We start from the raw sequence: 19975 nt of genomic DNA on the forward strand, positions 1-19975 counted from the left end.
CTTCATCTTCTCAAGGTGTTGAACATGGTTCATATTTATTAACTGCCAAAGCAATGGAGTGGCTCAACTCAGCTAATGAAGCAATATGTAGCTTTTATTTCCCTGGAATACCAAATATATGAGGAATTTGTGCAATAAAAAAAACTTGATATTTCAGAACGATTTTACTCTCATGTGTTTCGATGCAATATTCTTCCTTATAATGTATTGCAAGCAGCCAACCTCAACATGTGACATTGAGTACTAAGTCATAACCTATTTACTTAATAAGTTTTCAAATAAATGGTTCACAACTCTCTTTGGGTGCAAAATTGCAGTTATCTTTTCAGAATTTTTGGCAGGCTAAAATTTTTTTGGGAAATAAACATCCATCCATTTTATTAGGCTCAAATTTACATAGGTTCAACATCAATAACTGCTTAAATTTCATATAAGATTGGGCTCATGCATTTTGGTGGACATTATCAAATATCCTTTCCTGTAAAGCTGACTTTCAGTGCTAATTTCACACCTTTAAATTGTTTAATAATCAGATAACTCTTTCAGTTTTATTTCGGGTATTGTTCTTTTGGTAATACATTTCTATCTTTATCTTTCAGAGTCTGAATAACATTCATTCCCTTGCAGATTTGACACATGACTTGCTCAAACATACAATCGCTTCACTTCCTGGTACATTTCATCTACCCAACTGTCACTCCAATCCTTTCAGCTCTTTGAGATATATTTCTTTTGTTCGTTTTCACATTTTACCTTTGGTTAAGTACATTGTCAGTCAAAACATGATTCACTGAATTTGTTTATCCAGTGCAGTGTAATTTGACACAGAATTGTGTGTTTCTAACTCTTATCCTTTTATTAATGTTTCCTTGTTACCTCATTTATCATTTATATTTTCATGACAGTTCTCTAAAAGAAAACCATTTTCCCCACATTTATTATCACTTTTTTCAAACATTGTCAACTTAAATTAGTACATAAGACTCAGAGAAACTTAGTTTTCTTAATAATAATAATACAAATTGAATGAACTGATTTTCTTAAATTCTTCTGAGAAAAAATAATAGCAATTTAAGGGAAATGACTATTCATGTGTTTATTTTCTCTCTTTTAATGACAAGATTCAACCTGAATGATGAAACTTTATGTAGCAAGTGCATTAAAACCACTTATAGTTATTGCTTTTCAAAAGCAATAGCAACAAAAACAACAACAAATATATATTTTTAACTATCTGAGATGGCTGAGCTAATGAGGGGAATGTTTTAAATTTGGTTAGGAGTTTATGACAGTTGGGAAATGAGCCATCACTGTTAACAGGAGCTTTTTTTTAAATCTCCAGTGCTGGACATTTCCCACGTTAAATAAGCACACCTGTCTGTTTTGATCTCATAAAATACAGAAGAAAAAAAGCCTAATTAAAATTTTAACATACTTATGGTTACACTTGCTAGAGTATGTTTACCATATCTTGAATTAGATATTGTCTTGCCATGACTAAGTGAGTTCATCATGGTGATTAGGTCAGGAAACATAATTTCTCATGATCTACACAGCCTACATGAGTAATCCCACTTACCACTACCTAAAATCTGTGAAAAACCCATTTTATACTGAGGGTTGCTTCATCTTCATGGAAAAAAGCATGTGACAATTTGATTGCAGAGCTCAATTGGTAATATCCTTGTCTACATCCAGAATGGTACTAAGACTACAATGACATGAAAGTAGCGCTGAACCTAAAGTAAGAGGTTTGGAGTTTGAGTCTCTGCTTCACAAAATACTAACTATACAACCTGAAACAATATAATCAACTTTTAGGAATCATTGTTTTTCATTAATAAAAAGAGAATAACTGCTATATTTAACACAAAGGACTTAAAATAATTATATAAAATCATATATATATAAATCTATGAACTTCCACATTAATGTTATATTTATTCTATTAACCTTGCCCCCCAAAGTCCCCCACTCAATATGATAGGAAACAAATTTTTGTCTATGTGATATATTGATTTCTTTTCCTTTGGGTAGATATTCAGTACTGGGATTGCTGGATCAAATGGTAGTTCTACTTTTAGTTTGTTTAGAAATCTCCATACTGTTTTCCATAGAGGTTGTACTAATTTACATTCTCACCAAAAACGTGTAAGATTTCCCTTTTCTCCACATCCTCACCAAAGTCTTTTATTTTTTGTCTTTTCAATAACAGACATTCTGACTAGGGTAAGATGTTATCTCATTGTGGTTTTAAATTTGTATTTATCTGATGATTAGTGATGTTGAGCACTTTTGAATATCCTTGGTGGCCATTTGTATGTCTTCATTTTAAAAATGTCTGTTCATATCATTTTCCCATTTTTTAATGACATTCTTTGTTTGGGGGAAATCTTAGACATAAATTCTTTGCCCAGACTAATTAGGCTAGATTTTCACATGTTTTTAAACAAGATCATATTATATGGAAAATATATTAAAGTGCCATTTTTCTGGTTAAAGCAGAAGTATGGGTCTTTGGTCCCTTCTCCATCAGCCCCTGAGATGCTTCCAAGGAATGCTGGGATTGTGTAACAGTTTGAAAGCCGCTGTTACCCCAAAGAGGGCTGCTTTTTGGGGAAATTTCTGCCTCCTAAAAAACAAAATCTGTATATATTTCCTTCAGTAGGAAAAATAGACACTAGCATTATGAAACATTATGAAATAAGTTGTTTTTGATACTTTGAGCTGAAGTTTTATTATATAGATGTGTTGACTGAAATGGCCTTTATAGTATAATTCTTCAAAATCCAGGAAACATTGTGAAATTTCAATATACTGAAATTTGTTCAATATATATTGGACACTGGCCTAAATAATGAATTCTGTTTGCATTCCAGAAGATCTAAAAATAAAGAAAAATAAGCCTCACATTGAAGGAACTTAATTTTTCTGGTAGGTTAAAAAAAACAGTAACAGTAACTAAGGAATCATATTTCTTGATGATTTAATTAATAGAATTTCTCAGTTAATGTTATCTCTGTCAATATTGTATTAACATGTATTTTTTTTTCCTTGAGTTGGTTATTCTGAGGAAAATTCTACAAAAGACTTCATAAATCCAGGAAAAATCCACTCACTCTGAAAGTGCCCATTCCTTCAGGTTTCCTTTACTGTTAGTGCCACTTGAGCTGTGCAGGTGCTTTTAGGAAGTATTCAAGACAATGAGGAAGTTCATTGAAATGCACAGGAGAAAGAATAAGAAATTCTAGTACATCATCCAAAGATGCCAGTTCTTAAGAACTTTTCTGAATTTTTAAATGCTTTATGTTAAATTTATACTTGTTCTAAAAAAAAAGTTTGTCAGTTTTTATTGGCAAGATAGAGTAGTTCTTAAAAAGAAGCAATTTTATGATGTTTTCTGGTTACATTTTAACTTACAGATGCTTGTCTTTAGAGAGACAGTAGCAATGTCAGTATCTGAAATGCCAGTTTTGTCTTTCTTTTTGTTTCAGTCTATATTAATTTAGTAATGGCACACAGGAATTCAACTAGTCACATTTTCCATGAAATTTAACTGTAGGATTTTATTCTTTTCTGAGCATAGTTACATGGGTTTGCTGTCAGATCATTTAAAAAATAGATTTTTTTTTTACCTACTCTTGGAAAATACTGAGATAGGACAGAATGATAAATCTCTCAGCAACTGACCCATCTTTTGTAGCAAGGTGTCACAGTTGAGTCTACATTCTAATTCCTCTGTGCTAAGGACAATTTGCAAGTATTAAATGATCCTTATCATTTCCTATAAATAGGGTGTTGCTAAGCAGTTGAGTGGATTTTTGAAGTAACTAACATATGGGCTAATTAATGTCTTATTGGTGAGTTCTACCCAATCGTAAAGAGTGGGAAGATGTGAGTTGCGTGCTGTAAGTTTAGTTCACCCCATATTTTAATCTGCTTTGTAAGTTTAAGCTCTTGTGTATCTGTTTGTTCTGCATATATGTTCATATTGCATATAAGTATGAACTAGATTGAATAATATCCAAATATATATCTATTATAGAGATTCTAGAGGAATAGGGATCCTGCAATATTATTCAAAGGACAGAATAAACTCCTCTAGAAATAAAACAAGAACTACAAACTATTAAAAACAAATAATGTATCTTCTCAATCTATTAAAATTATCACAAATCTTGGGAAGTCACTTGTATACATTGTAAATCAAAAATAATTGGTAATATATTGATATGAATGTCAAAGAAAATAAATCATATCCTACTACTATGATGAATGTGCAAAAGAACCCATTTTTTTCAAAACAGATACCACAGATTCTCACATATGCCTTCCTGAATACTAATGAAGTGAACTGTGGACATTAGCTATAGAAATTGACAAATGAATGGAGTATGATCTCTACATCTCCACTGACAATCATATACAGTAGAACTCCAACCCATGGTACCATTGTGGAAGTAGCAAAACAAATTAATTCTGAATATGAAAGGAGAATTTAGGGCATGCTTTAAATTAAGGAGACTTTTTAGAGCATTCTTTTGTATGACTCCGACAAGTTTTCATTTTTGCCTTGTTTTATATTGTCAGCAGGCCACACTGTCATCATCCCTATGTATATATATGTGTGTGTGTGTGTGTGTACATATATATACACATACAGTTGTGTGTCACTTAACAATGGGGGATACATTCTGAGAACTGCATTGTTAAATGATTTGCTCATTATGCAAACATTATAGAATGTTAGATGGCATATATATTTTTATTTATATCTATTATATAGAAAACCAAATGTCCTAGCACCATTACTGAATATCAACAATTCTTTTATTTAATCTGCAACGCCAATATCAAGTGCCATATATCAGGTTTCTATATGTGTGCCATTATAATCTATGAGACCACTGTCAAACATGTGATCTGTCTTTGACAAAAACCTTGTTATGTGGTGCATGGCTCTATAGATGCAAGATGATAAAGATGATATATGCAAAAACTGTATAGTTACTCCTGAGGAACCAACTCCACCAGAAAAGCCAAACCTCTTTAGAAGAGTAATGTAATTTATCATAGCACATGAAATTAATCTTAAAGATTTCATTTTCTAAAAGTTTTCTTTGAATAATATAACTTCTATTTCAATGGATAGGACAATTTATTCCATTTAAGGGCATTGCTTACTGAGCAGAGAGCATTTTAGATAAAAAATATAGTAACATAGGAGCTTTTATAAAGAACACAGAGAGCAAGGATATATAAATGATGCCATTATAACTTTGATGAATATGCTTTTCATAACTAACAACCTAGCTGTGATATTAAAGAAAAGGTTTTTAAATAGTAATGCTTTTTTTAATGTAGGGACTTGGCTTCAAGTCTTGCTTGCTTTCATTTTTGCATAAAACATCTTTAGAAGGGAGTGAAGCGTGGAACTCTGGAACCACGCAGACTTACCCATGAGAGCTCTGGTGCTGCAGCTCTGACCTCCGCCCTGCCGGGGTCAAGAACCATCTCTTCCTCCCTTACTGCCTGCCGGGTTCAGTGATCTCACCAGCTGTCTCAGACTCTTTTTGAAAGCAGCCGTCTGTCCTCTGTCACTTTCCAGCAGATATGCTACACAAAGGAAATCAAGGTCACCAGGAACGTGGATTCCAAAACCAAACTTTCCAACCCCTGGATGAACAACCCTTAGACATTCCTGAATTGCTTCCCTTATTTAACTTCTCTGTCATTGACCATCAATTCTCACATTTTTGTTGAGGCAATTTTAAATATTACTTTTCCAGGTGAACTTAAAACTCTACATAAGTCTTTCAATTTGAGATCAAATATGTGTATACACTATTCAGTCTAATTACTATAGCTTTCTCTCCTTCTTCCATTGTAAGACTGTGGATATGAATTCATCACACATACCTCTTGGACATTGTTGATGCTGATGCACATTCCTCTGTATTCATCCTATTCTACTTTCTGGCACTTTTAGTAACGAAAATTTTTTAGAAACTGAAAGCAAAAGCAGACTCCTAATTATTTTACTTTAGATACTAGGACTATTTATAAACTATCACTAAAAAAGCAGCTCTTGCCTGTGAATGTTCTCTTTCTGGAGTTACTCCATTTTTTTTTTTTTTAACGTCAGGTATTCTAGGACTGAGAAAGTTGTAACTCGTTCTTCGTTCTTCTCACAACTTAAACCCTCTTCAGTATGAGTGTTCATCTGCTTTTCAGTTAACTTACAGACTTCTCGACCCTACCAGCAGTTTTGCCCTGACGTAGACACTCCAAACTGACTGCTGACCATTACTCATCAAATTCAGAGTATAAACTATTAATACAATTGTGTATTTTTACTTGTTTTATTTTATTAATTCATCTTTCTTCTTTGAATATACGAAGTCTGCCTGGACTACCTTTATCTTTTCTCATTGGCCAGTTCAGAGATAATTCTTGGAAGCTTTTCATGTAGCAAGTACCTAACAAATATAGTTTACTTCTGGAGTTATTGACTAACTGAAATTAATCCCTTTCCACTGATGCACTGCATGAGCCTAAGATATTTTATCTAAGCTTTAGTCAAACCTGGAATACCCTTATGGCAAATGTTATCTTTGAGAGAATATATTAAGATCAACTAAATGCTGTAGCAAACAAAACCAAAACCTAGTGGTATAAAACCACAGAGATTTGTTTCTCATCCATATAATAGTCTCATGCAGGTGTTTGACAGGCAGCCTTCGTAGTGGCAATGCAGGAACTTGTACTCCTTTCATTTTGTCACCTACTTGTCACCTAGGGTCCTAAGGTCCTCTGCTCAAGGTCTGCATCCAGTAGGCCGACAGGGGAGAGAGATTGTGTGAGCATATTTTTGGACCAGAGCACTTCTTCCTGCATTGAATTGGCCGAACCTAATCATGTGACACTATCTACTCAGTTCATTTAGTTATAATGAACTCTTTTATATGTAATATTTCAGTACACAGGTAGAGTAGGAGACAGGTTTTGGTAATTCATTGCTGTCCCTGTAGCACACAGTGAGCACCATGGGTCAGAACTGTGAGATGCTTCCTGTGTTGCTGGCAGCCACAGGGATTCAGAGAGGCCACAAGAAGCTTACCTTTTGAACATCAGAGCTACAGACATTAATATTTAAAGTTTGAGGGAACAGAAAAGTGAAGGCTGATTATTCTTGCCACAAGTTGTAAGAAGAATAAAATGCTTCCTTTGTAGTGAATATCCTCAGGGTGGAAAAAAGGCATGGCTCATTTAATTTCATCATCCAGTATAAGGAAAATGAACAGAAACAGATGCCTTTCCATTAATTTTGCAATGGCTGGATTGGGAATAAGGTCCTCATGGCTCCCTGTGTGTTTAAGGACATCCCAATCCATCATTACACACATACCAGAGTTTCTGCCAGCATCAGAAGCTACTTCTAGAGCAAAGATCCCAAGTTCCCAGAAAATATTCCCTCATCTATCGTATTGAAAATTTGAAAGTCTCTTCCTTCAAAGTATCAATTTTCCATCAATGACAGATGCAAATTTCTCCCTTTTTATTTTCTGTATTGACTCAGTTTTACTTTTTTGGCTATCTTAAATAATTTTTCTTTAGATTTATATTTGATAGTAAAAAAGAAAGTTTAATTGTAGTACATTATTAACTTATTTACCATTTATAAGTATCTTTACCTACGTTGTATTATTTGACTGTTTCCTAAAAATGTTGTAAGGTATTTGCTATTGTTTTTAGTTTCTAGATGATAAAATTGAAGCTTAAAGACTTGAATGAACTTGTCTAAAATATCATAGTGTCTCAGAACACAGGCTTCAGAATCAGGACCCAAACAGGTTTTTTGATTGGTCTTTCTGGCTCTAAGTTCTATGCTTAAAATCTTTTACTAAGAGGATCACTAGATGCCTTTACACCTATATAAAAAGTAATCTTTCTGTTTAGATGACATTGAAGAGATCCAGTCTTCAATGCTCTGAAATGAAAAAAGTCAAAACATCTCATAATAAGAGCACAAATCTATTGGGACCCACTGAAAAAACCCAATGCAAGGAATATATGGTGAAAATGATGGATAAATATGAGTTCTTTAATTGATAAAATTATTTTTTGTTATGTCAATATTCCATTGAAATATATATTAATCAGTATGTTTTCGAGAATAGTAACCATGATGAATAGCTAGGGATCAAAATAACAGCTGTCATTAAACAGGTATTACATATGCACCAAATATGCATGTTTCATATAGTCTTTATATTAAATTGCAGCTCTAGGAGGCTCATGAACTTGACCTGGTATCAATTGAGATGAAAATCCAGATCTGTTTGATTCCAAAGTCAAAACAACACCTACATTTTAAAAACAAGAATGTTTTTCCAATGAGCACTTTCTCTCTCTCTCTCTCTCTCTCTCTCTCTATACATACATACATATATATATATATATATATATATGTACGTAATTAAAGGTCAATAATATCAAACCCTATATATAATCTACAAATAAAGACAGAAAAACCTAGCTTTCTTTTTCTCAATATTTGATATTTTCAAAATATAAAATACGAAACAGAGGAAGACAACTCCAATATTTAAATTTCTTATTAGATGGAATAGTTTCTACATTATAACATGAACAAGAATTGAATCACACAGAGATGTATTCTAGTGGGAAGCGTCAAAGTTGACCCACTTTCATGTAGAGGAGAGAGCCAACGACAGGCTTGTAGAGGGGGTGACAGCTGTCCTGACTAAGGATGTTCTGTAATTATTTACAGGAGAAAGAAAGGCAGGCAAAGCACAGACACAAGAGATCTGGAAGCATAGGCTGTTTTGGAGTCTAGGAGAGTGGTCAGCCATAGATTAACTCTATCTGCTATTTCTGAGATCTAGGCCCAAGGCTGAGGTTCAAGAGTGCAATTCCAAAGTCTAGCAAATGTAGCAAAATTACTAGTAAAATGGAGGTGGACTCTCAGTTTTATGGGAACCAGGCAGATTATCAAATAGGAATTAGACACTGACACCAAGGCAGCGCCTCAACTTTTCAGAACTGTAGAAGGACTCACAGCTAAGGTACCTGCCAGAATTGGGATAAAGGATGAGAAGTGGCTAGAAGCAAGGACGACTTTCTTCTGGATACTCAAGGTGTTCAAAGCCTCGAGGAATGATCAAAAAGACATCATCTAAAAGCCTAAATTCAAGAAACCGTTAACTCAGCAGACATTAATTGAATGCTTCCTATTTATCTTTATATCCCCAGTATTTAGATGGTATCTGATATATCTTGACTAGCCTGAGTGAATTAAAATGCACTGGATTGGCAGAACAAAATGCTGAGCAAAGTGAGGTACTTCAAAAACATTAAATCTGACTCCAGCCAGACTTATATTTACATATCCTGCTTATAATTTTTATGTCTGCATCTATATGATGCTCCAAAATGTCAGTGGCATTAAAATAAACAAACAAAAAAACAGAAGGGTCATGCTTGGGGATCTGCAACTAAAGGTATGTATGGAGTAACCTGAAGAAATGATTCAGCTGAGTATTTCTCCTGAAGAGGACATTGACAAGAACAAGACTGTTGTTCCTATTGAATATCTCTTCTGAAGTTTTCTTGATAAGCCACTCCAAAATATAACACTTGCATAATTAATTGATGCCCAAGAGTCAATGTTTGAGCCATTGAGAGGTTAGCTCTTTCAGGTAAACCATTCTCTTGTATTGGGGAACCATGAACATTTTTCATCCTACTGTGTCATTTGCCTTTTAAATGCTTTAAAAGGTAGGGAGTGAGAGTACTGGTGCTACGATCTGAATGTTATGTTGTCCCCTCTCAAAATTTATATGTTAAAATCCTAATTCCCAAAGTGATGGTATTTGGAGATGGGATCCTTTGGGAGGTGATTAGTTTATGAAGGCACAGCCCTTATGAATGGGATTAGTGCCCTTATAAAATAGGCTAAAGGGATTCTGTCTGCCTCTTCCTATCATATGAGATCACAGCAAGAAGTTGCTAAAAAGGGCCCTCACTAGAACCTTGCCATGCCGGCACCCTGATCTTGGACGTCCCAGCCATCAGAATTGTAAGAAATATGTTTCTGGTTTTATAAGCTGCCCAGTTTATGATATTTTGTTGCATCAGTCCAAGTGGACTAAGATAACTTGGGTGGAGTTTAGGGAAAAAAATCATAGAATTCAGTAATAATCTGTCAGGCTCTAGCTCAAATCCTGTAGTTTCTAGGAGAACTTCTTTTATTTCTCTAATACTTAGCACATTCTCTATGTTTTGAAATGCAAGAAAATATTTTCTACTTAGCACTAAATTATTTTGTTCATAAACATTTTTTATTTTCTAAATTATCTATTTGGGTCAGGGACAGCATTTTATTCTGTTTGGCACAGCACCCTTCCACCCTCTATCCGCCCCGCCCCTCACCCCCCACCCATACACATAGATACAGGTAAAATCCCACCACCACAAAACATGCAGGGGCATTGCTATCCTGTCCTTCTGCCTCCCCCCACAAAATTTACACACTTCATGCTTCTCACTCAGCTCCCTGAATTGTGTGCAGTTAGCTAGCAGAAAAGCCAGTACTGATTGATTGTTAGGGTTGCCTAGAGTTTCAATGAAATGTGGAATTTTATTGCCACATTTTGTTGCAAAATTAATAATTCTGCGAACTTGAATGATTTTTTTTCTTACAAACAGCAATTAAGTAGTCATATCCCGTATCATTGTGCTATAATTAACTCTATCTCATTCTTATTTTGTATGATCTTGGGAAATAAGAAAAAAAGAAAATTTGCCATTCCTATGTAGAAATATCTTCTTTTAAGATTATATTGTGAAATCAGCTTTGGTTTATATTTTAAGATTAGAACTCAAATTGCTAATGCAAACTATGGCAAAACAGAAATAATCCTCTGACTTCCATCAAAGAACCAAAAACCCCCAACAGGGCTATCTATTCAAGTCTGCAAGACTTCAAGGTTCAGAAGCACCAAGGTAACCCATGTATAAAGCAAAAACCAAGGCAATATTCTACAGAAAGTTGACCCTAGATGGTTGGAAGCCCATACATCTGAGTACCTGTGGGGCATTGGAGAGACAGTGGGGGCGAGTGTTTGTATGTATATGTGTGTATATGCTAGGGGGTGAAGACTATGCAAGAGAGGCCATTATAGCTTACTGGTTAGCCTCATGGACTCTGGAACTAGCCTGAATGAGTTTAAATTACAGCTTGGTCATTTATTAATTATGTGACTTTGGGCAAAACAAAGGCAAAATGGTAACTACCTCTTAAGACTGGTGTCAGGATTACTTGGGTTAATACATGAAAAGCACTTAGAACAGTGCCTAGCAAGTGGTGAGCACTCAATAAATATTAGCAACTGTCATTACACCAAATAGAGGAGTGTGATGCATCTAATACAAACTTCATCATGTTCAAAAGGAAGCCTAGATTCACCTGAAGTTTGAAATATGAGCCACAAAGAATGAGAAACATGACATTAAATATAAGAATTTTAAAATGAGTTTCTCTAAGCCATTGAAAAGACCTGGCAAAGTGTAGTCAGGTTATTTAGATGGGCTAGACAAATTGCTTCTCCCAAGTCTCCACCTATGTGAGTGCTCACATCACAAGACGGCAGTGTAAAATTCTCAATAGTATCTAAATAAATTAATTCTATCAGATATCCAAATACTGCAAAAATAGAAAAAAATCCCAAAAAACACATTAAAAATTCTCAGAAATTTTTATCCTTAACGTCCCTTACGTGATTAATGATATACTCATTTAGAGCAGAATAATGGATATCTAATGATACACAACACGTAGAACAAAATACATTTACAAATGTTAAATGTACATATATATTCTGTCAGAAAATTGAAATGTATTAAGATGATTTTAGTTTACTTTTATTATTCAGTCTGTTTACTATATTTAGATAATAAAATTCTATTAGCATTATACATGACTTATGAGTTCAAAACAACTTTTCAGTAGCAGCATAGGAAATGTGCGGGTGGGGCAGGGTTGATAAATGGGCTCTATGAGAAGAATAATGGTAGGCTTCGCACTCTTTTCATAAAGAATATTTCAAATTTATCATATAAAGTGAGTTCCTGCAAGTGTGGTGACAACCTGGGGGAAGAATAAAGAACCTACTCCTAACAATGAACAGAATTAAAGTAGAATTGGAGAATACTCAGGCATTAGAGAGTATGTACCATGTAATCAAGTTCATATTGATCAAATATTGAGGGAAAAAAATGACATCCAAGGTTTTCCTAGGATGCTTCCATACTCAAATATAGCCACATGGCTGAGGTAATCTTGCATTATATGCTCAGCTATAAGGCTCTAGACTTCAATGGAAAGTGATCATTTTCATAATGTTAAATTCCCTTTGTGAGTGTGGATCCCATTTACTTGCTACCAGTCAGCATTCTTGTCACTTTACTCCAAGCTGAATAGCTTGGTTATAGCAGGAACCAGTAGCTGTCTTGCCCATCTCCACCAGGTGTATGTGTAGCACGGGGGGTCGCAACATCATGGTTGAAGCTCTTTAGATGACTTGTCACGCCCAGGATTCGCCCTTTAGTTACCAAAGTGAGGTGAAAAGAGAAAAAAGGATTGTCTCCTTGGGTTTTAGAGTCACTTTATTCTCTGAGTTTCTAGGTGCTGATGAGAAAGTTAGAGCTGGGAAAGAGAAAAGGGATCCCCATGACTTGTCCTTTTATCCCGAGGGGTAATCCAATACTGCTTTTCTCCTTTTGTTCCATGGCAACTGTGCAAGAGACTTTAGTAGATGTCCCTCAGTTGGGGTTTATAAGATGTTGATTAGCCTGAGTTATGAGTTTTTGGGAGGAAGAGCACAGAGGTAAACTGCCATTTTCAGCATATCATATCAGGAGCACAAACTATCGACGTGATTTATCACTGTTGATGTTAACCCTGAACACTTGCCTAAGATAGTGTTTGTCAAGTTTCTTCACTGTAAAGTTACTCTTTCTTCCTTTCTCCATACAGTCCTCTTTGGTAAGAACTTTCTGTGTACAACCCACACTTAAAAATTAGAGAGATGTGCTTCACCTCCTTGAGGATGAATTGTCTACATAGAATAGTTGAAATTCTTCTGCATGGGAGATTGGTTTTTATTTATTCATTCATTCTTTCAATTATTCATTCATTTATGGCAATATGGACTCATGAATATTTATTTTATATTTTGAGTTATAAACCAGTATTACTTTATTTTGTTGCCCAAATTTTTCCAGCTTTGGTTATTGAGGACACTTTCAGTTGGTTGGCCATGACCTTGCAAAAAGTCAAATTCCTCAAAAACAAAAAAGGTCTAAGAAACTGTTACAATCAACTAAATGTGATGCAATATTCTAGATGGAATCTTGAAACAGGGAAAAGATATTAGGTAAAAGTAAAGGAAATCTGAATAAAGGATGGGCTTTAGTTAATAATAATGAATCAATAATGGTCTGCTAGCAAATGTACCATACTAATGTAAGATGTTAATAATAAGAGATACTGTGTACAGGGTTTGTGGGGACTTTTTGTATTACTTTTGCAATTTTTTGGTAAATCTAAATCTAAAATAAAATGTTAAAAAGAAACCATAATGCCTTAGTTTCCACTCAGTAGATTCTTTTAAATAATTTCAACTCTTATTTTAGAGTCAGGGGGTACATGTTCATGGGTATATTGCATGATGCTGAGGTTTGAAGTACAATTGAACCCATCACCCAGGAAATAAGCCTAATACCTAACAATTTTGCAACCCTTGCACTCAGCAGAATTTCAAGGAGTTGAAGATCTAATTTGAGCAGAGCTCCTGCCTGCCACAAAGACCTCAAGAGCCAGCTGAGTTCTCACCATAAACTGAAATATTCAAGATCTCTTATTCTAAATTGATTTTCAAACCTCTCAAAGGAACTTTTTCTGCTTACTAGAAAGTTAATTCAATAATTGTGATCTGAAACTTCTCATGTGCAGACAAGCAACTGACAAATTAAATTAGGGCCACTGTATATAACCAAACTCTCTCAGAGGACCTAATGCCACTTGACTGGGTTGGGGCTGCTGTGTAGCTTTGGAGTCATCTTGCACATCGCTAACTATCTGTGCTTGATTCCAAAGGTGGCTTAGCGTCTATGGTCAATTCCACCTTGATAGCCATGTAAATAGTTCCTGGGTGAAGCCCAGACCATAGGGAACATTATCTCTCCTCTTCTGGAAATGATAACTCTGCATAGCCAGACTCAAATTACACTGACCTTTTTGATAGCCATGTCACATCCTACAGTGACAGTCAATTAGGTTGCCCAGCTCACTCTGAGGGTTTTTTAAGCACTGGAAATTAACAACATTTTGTGTGTGTTTTATTAAATGTCTGTATTTCTGATTTGTGTCTCAATGCATTGATGTTTATTTCTTGGCCCATTTATTTCTGAATTTACAGCTTTTCCTTTTCTATTCACTTTTCTCTTTGATGCAACACTTAATTTGTGTTAGGAAGAAATAAATAAGTTACCGCTTTTAAGATGTGAAAGACCCAAAATAGCTCTGAGATTTGCTGTTTTATGAATGATTGAAAATCAAAGTCATACTTAAGGTGAGATCAAAAGACACATAATGCTTTCCAGCCTAAAATATGCATTTGAGATTTAGGGGTAGCTACAAATGTAATTATTATAATCATGAAATAATTGCTGCTTTCCTTCAGTATTTTCAGGAGGAGGCATTTCACTCAGAAAGTCAGGATAGGGGGCTGGGCATGGTGGCTTATGCCTGTAATCCCAGCACTTTGGGAGGCTGAGGCGGGTGGATCACTTGAGGTCAGGAGTTGGAGACCAGCCTGGCCAAAATGGTGAAACCCTGTCTCTACCAAAAACACAAAAATTAGCTGGGCATGGTGATGCATGCCTGTAATCACAGCTACTCAGCAGGCTGAGGCAGGAGAATTGCTTGAATCCAGGAGGCAAAAGTTGCTGTGAGCCGAGATTGTGCCACTGCACTCCAGCCTGGGCACAGAGCAAGACCCTGTTTTAAAAAAAAAAAAAAAAAGAAAGAAAGTCAGGGTAGGCTTGCCACCAGAAAAGCCTTCAAATGGGAAGTACTTGTTACTTGTTTCTCCAAGGGCTAGTCTTTCTAGAAGGGGATTTCATGACAAGTATATTGAAACAGCCATAAAGATAAGGTATCTACCTGGTAAATTCTCAGGGCCTACCGGTAAACCACTGGAAGCCTTTCTTCAGAAAACACAGAGGTAACACTCCTTTGCTGAAGCAAACATATTAATTTCCTTTTTTGTTTAATTTGTCTTTATTGTTAAAATCAGTACCACCATGGAAAAGCATGCATTAGTTACCAATGGTTCAGAATGTTCTTCTGAGTACCTTACAAAGATAACTGCATACACCTGTACTGATAATCTTGCAGTCAATACTGCACAAGGTATAAAATGAGACAGGTGCGTCCAGGTAAAGCTCCTGGATGGTAAGAATTATTTTACTTATCTCTCTATTTCCCAACATACTCAGCATACTGCCTTGTTGGTAAGTGCTTTAGAAATATTTGTTGCATCAAGCCGAATTACAGTGAGAAGAGGCAAAGTGTGTATCATGCCAAATCCCTTAATTCCCCAAATCCGCATACTGCCAACAACAAACTGTAAATCAGAACTGCTACAGATATATTTGAACTTCTGTTTAAATTCCTCACTAAGTTAGTGCTTTTAAGTTTAACACTCTAGTCACATTCCTGGCAGGAAGAGAAGCACCAAGAAGGAAAATTAGAGAAGTCTAGTCTAGTGCTCATCTTGGCATTGACATCTGGCTGCAGAAGCCCCAGGGCAAGAGGCATAATGCTTCTCACCCTCAGTTTTCTTACTTGGGTGGTAAGCGGGAAAGAAGGAGCAAAAGCCAACTTTTTAAACTTTTTTACCACTTAAAAAATAGAAATTTTACACATAACCATATTTAACTGTCATTTGATGACTTTCTATCATTAGCACCATCTTAATGACCAAGCAGCAACTTTCAAAAGGAATGTAGCAGTTACGCATCTTAAAGACTTCAGAGTCTGATGCTTAGAAAGGAAAGGACATTTGCTAATTGCCCATATTTTAGGTTGCATGCCTGGTATTTAAGAACCAGCATCATATGAAAACAACACTGGGAGTTCACTCTGGGTTGCCTGGACCACACACTAGCTGGTCCTGGTGATTCTTCTTTTCTCAAATAGGGTAGGCGGCAGCACCCAATTTCAGTTTAAAATGGAATTGAAGACTACTTCTCTGAGTAGGCCTCTGCAACCCAAGAATGGGCCCCAATATTTCCCAGACTCTCAGAATTTTTATATCAGGCAACTGATAATCCCAGAAAATGCTTGTAAATATTTAACACTCAAAATCTGGACAGTCTTGGGCCAAACAGCCTATGTATCTCATCTTAATGAAGTTCTTTTCTTATATGAATAAAAAGAGATATCCGTGGGCCTCCCTAGTGGAATAAAGTCCACACTATATATGATGCAGATTTCCTGACCTCATGTGCCTCTCCACAGACAGATGGGAACATCGGGGGATTTTCAGTATCTGTGGCTTGTTTGCCCTGGCCTCATCAGTGCTTCCTTTCCCCTACAAATATTCTTCAGTGAATGTCATGTGATGTTTTGCTTGGCCCCTTCCTCCACCAATAGAAATCCTTAAGGGATCATCTGGCACAAAAATATCATAGAGAAAAGTGTATGGACTTTGGGTTTGAAATGTATTACTTACTGTCATATATTAGTTCATAGATTAGTATTTAAGTTTTCTTGGTCTTAGCTTCCTCTTCAATGAGACTGATCATCCCCTCAGTTTTATTTAGATATTAAATAAAATGATGAATGCACATCATTTATCACAGGCTCTGCTACAAAGTATGAACTCTGTCTTTTCATTCTTTTCCATGACTTTTCCAATGTCTTCCATAATCTTCCATCACACGTACCTTTTAGTTCTAAAATTAAGAGGAAAAAATGAAGGAATAAGGGAGAGAATTGAAGGACACTTATCAGATAAAGGACTAGAAGTGGAGAGCAGCAAGGCAAGGAAGCAAACTTGAAAGAAGGATGGTTTCAGAAGAATAGAATAAAACTTCTGGGAAGCTTTTTTTCTGACTTCCAGTATGTTTCGGTATCACCATTAACTCTAGGCCTAAGCAGAGAGCAGCTGCAAATAATTTTTCTGTTCTTATTTATTTATCCTCAAATAAAGATTGATATATATGAGTTCTCTACATTTTCAGGTACTTGTGAGGTCTGCCTGGTATTCAAATTGCACCCTAATAGGTACCAAAGGACGCAGCAGCACTTCACAATACCATGGTCTGTGTTTTGGTAAAGCATCATTATAAACCTCCCTGCAAGCTAAGTGGTAACAGTTCCCAAAGACAGACTGCGCTATACAGAGGCTGTCATGATGTGCTTTCATTTATGACCATATGATTTATATTGGGCAATGACAACAGCATCATGATAATCACCATGGAATTCAACTTAGAGAGACTTACAACTCTTTAAATGGATACAGTAGCTTTCAAGCTGTCAAAAAAGAGAAATAGTTTATAACAGCAGCATTTTAACAGGATAAGAAAACAGAGTCCTGTAAATATCAGAATGAGATTATTAATCTGCTATTAATATGAACTGCCGTGTTTTCTAAGCATGAAAATAAAGCAATTTTCATTTTTGTTCCTCTTTTTTAAGTCAGTCTGACCTCTTGACTTGAAATATTCATTTATAAATGAATCACAATCAGAAATATAGGGAGATCAGACCAAATTCTGGACCAAAAGGGAAGGGCTATATTATTATTGGTATTTATCCTCAAAGATGGATGAATATTGTGATTTTTAAATTATATTAACTTTGCCCCTGTACACCCCAGTCCACAAAGTATAAATTCCTGTTTTATACTTTTCAAGGTGGTTTTATCCTGTTCAAGGAATTTTTATGGTGAGTGCAGAAGAACTCTGCAAAGCATCTTCCAAATGGGAATTGCTGATCCAAACGGGAAAAAAAAAATCTGTCTGTTTCTCCTGAAGCCAGTTTTATATGAAGGTAGATAATTATTGAAAAATATATCTTGAACTTGAATTATATATGGACTTTGCAGTTTATAAAATACTTTCACATATTTCACCTGGGAAGTGCATGTCCATGTGCACTTGGGGGCATTTTAGCTCTCTTGAGCCTCTTCAGCCCCAGATTTCTTATCCATTGACTATGTCACAATGCATGAAATTTCCATCCAATTCACTATAGCAAAGTGCAGAAAGTGCTGCATTTGGAATCAGAAGTCATGTGTATATGCCTCATCTTTGCCATTTACCTGTTGTATTAGGTTGGTGCCAAAGTAATTGCGTTTTTGCCAATGGCAGCCTAAGAGTTTACCATGAGGCAAATCATTTATCTCTGAAGTATTTGTTAATTCCTAAAATAAAATTACCTGAACTTGACGCACACAAGAACCCCTTTTATCTCTACCATTCTATGATCACATATTCTCTTCTTTTTATTCACACCTAAGTAATGAGTATATGTTACATACTAGCTTTCTATTTTTAAGCCAGAAAGAGAGGCAGCCACAGCAGAAGTATTTTAGAATGCAGACTCAAAAGCAGAGGCAGGTTCTAAGGGTGCCTCTTCAAATCAAGAGAAGGATATCAAGGATTTAGAGTTGAGGATGGATTCAAGGCAGAACTCCCAAGTATCTGAGGCTTGAAGGACAGCTGATGTGGCTAAGAGCAGAGGCATGCCTTGTACTATTGTTTATATAAAAGTGCTGCACAATAAGTCATATTAGGAAAGTCTAGGCAAGCCTTATAACAAGTGGCCCAGGAAATGTGCCCTGTACACACTTAACACTAGTCACATCATCCAAAAGAAGGTCTTAAATAAGGGGCTGGAAGCATCAGTGTAGATGATATTTGCCTACTTTTCAAATTTTATTCATCTCAGAAGACTGCCTGATGGGTGAAAATAAGGATATTCATGGGAATGAAGAAAGATGATTTCTATATTCTTATTTTATTAATTACTGTATCACTTCACAGTGGCAAGCCTGCTAAAGATCCATAGGCAATCAGATAAAATGAAAAATTTGGCAGAAAATTGGAAAAACAATGTAGGAAGAAAGAAATCTGTGTTTACATTGAGAATACTCATTTGAGTAATAAAGATTCACAAAATTGAGAGAGAATTTTAGTATTGTTTTTACTCTTTCTTTAAAAAAATGCCTTTGAGATTTTTTTCAAGGCTAGCCTTTAATCTGTAGATTACTTTGGGTAATCCGGACATTTTGACAGTATTATTTCTTCCAATCCATGAACATGTGATGTCTTTGCATTTATTTGTGTCTCCTTCAATTTCTTTCATCAGTGTTTCATAGTGTCTAGTGTACAAATCTTTCGTCTCCTTGGTCAAGTTTATTCCTAAGTATTTTATTCATCCAGAGAGAATAGATGCCAGGTGAGATTGGAGGAGATGCCCCTGGGACTAGGCTTCTTTACTTGGAATCCAGACATCCTTTATTTTGCTTTTTAAAGTGTCTGAAAACCAGTTTTATTACTTTCCAATGCCATTTCTCTTCCCTGTTTTCTTACTTTTTTCTCTTCCTCTTTTTCTCTTCTTATCCTTCTTCTAATTATGATCATTGTTTATAGTTTTAAAATTCCTTGTTAATGGAATTTCAATCCCAACAATTCACATTATTTTACTAAAGGCTGAATGTAAGTTTCTTTTTGAGGTAATTCTATTTTATATAGTTTCCTTTCCCAGTGATTCTGTCATATCAATCAATGGCAGATTTTTACATTTTTGTAAGAAATTGTCAGGATTAAAAAAAGATAATATGATACCTGCTGTGGGGATTTAGAACATTTCAGT

The 19975-nt window shown here is 35.4% G+C and overlaps 2 annotated features.

Annotated features, from left to right (window-relative positions):
• Positions 1435-1635: a silencer, noted in NCBI's record as "peak6710 fragment used in MPRA reporter construct". NCBI's record gives its function as "represses an SCP1 promoter by STARR-seq MPRAs in K562 erythroleukemia cells {active_cell/tissue: K562}" and the evidence as "EXISTENCE:reporter gene assay evidence [ECO:0000049][PMID:32103011]".
• Positions 5435-5635: a silencer, noted in NCBI's record as "peak6711 fragment used in MPRA reporter construct". NCBI's record gives its function as "represses an SCP1 promoter by STARR-seq MPRAs in K562 erythroleukemia cells {active_cell/tissue: K562}" and the evidence as "EXISTENCE:reporter gene assay evidence [ECO:0000049][PMID:32103011]".

Source organism: Homo sapiens, chromosome 7, assembly GCF_000001405.40.
Source record: "Homo sapiens chromosome 7, GRCh38.p14 Primary Assembly".
Lineage (NCBI taxonomy): Eukaryota > Metazoa > Chordata > Mammalia > Primates > Hominidae > Homo > Homo sapiens.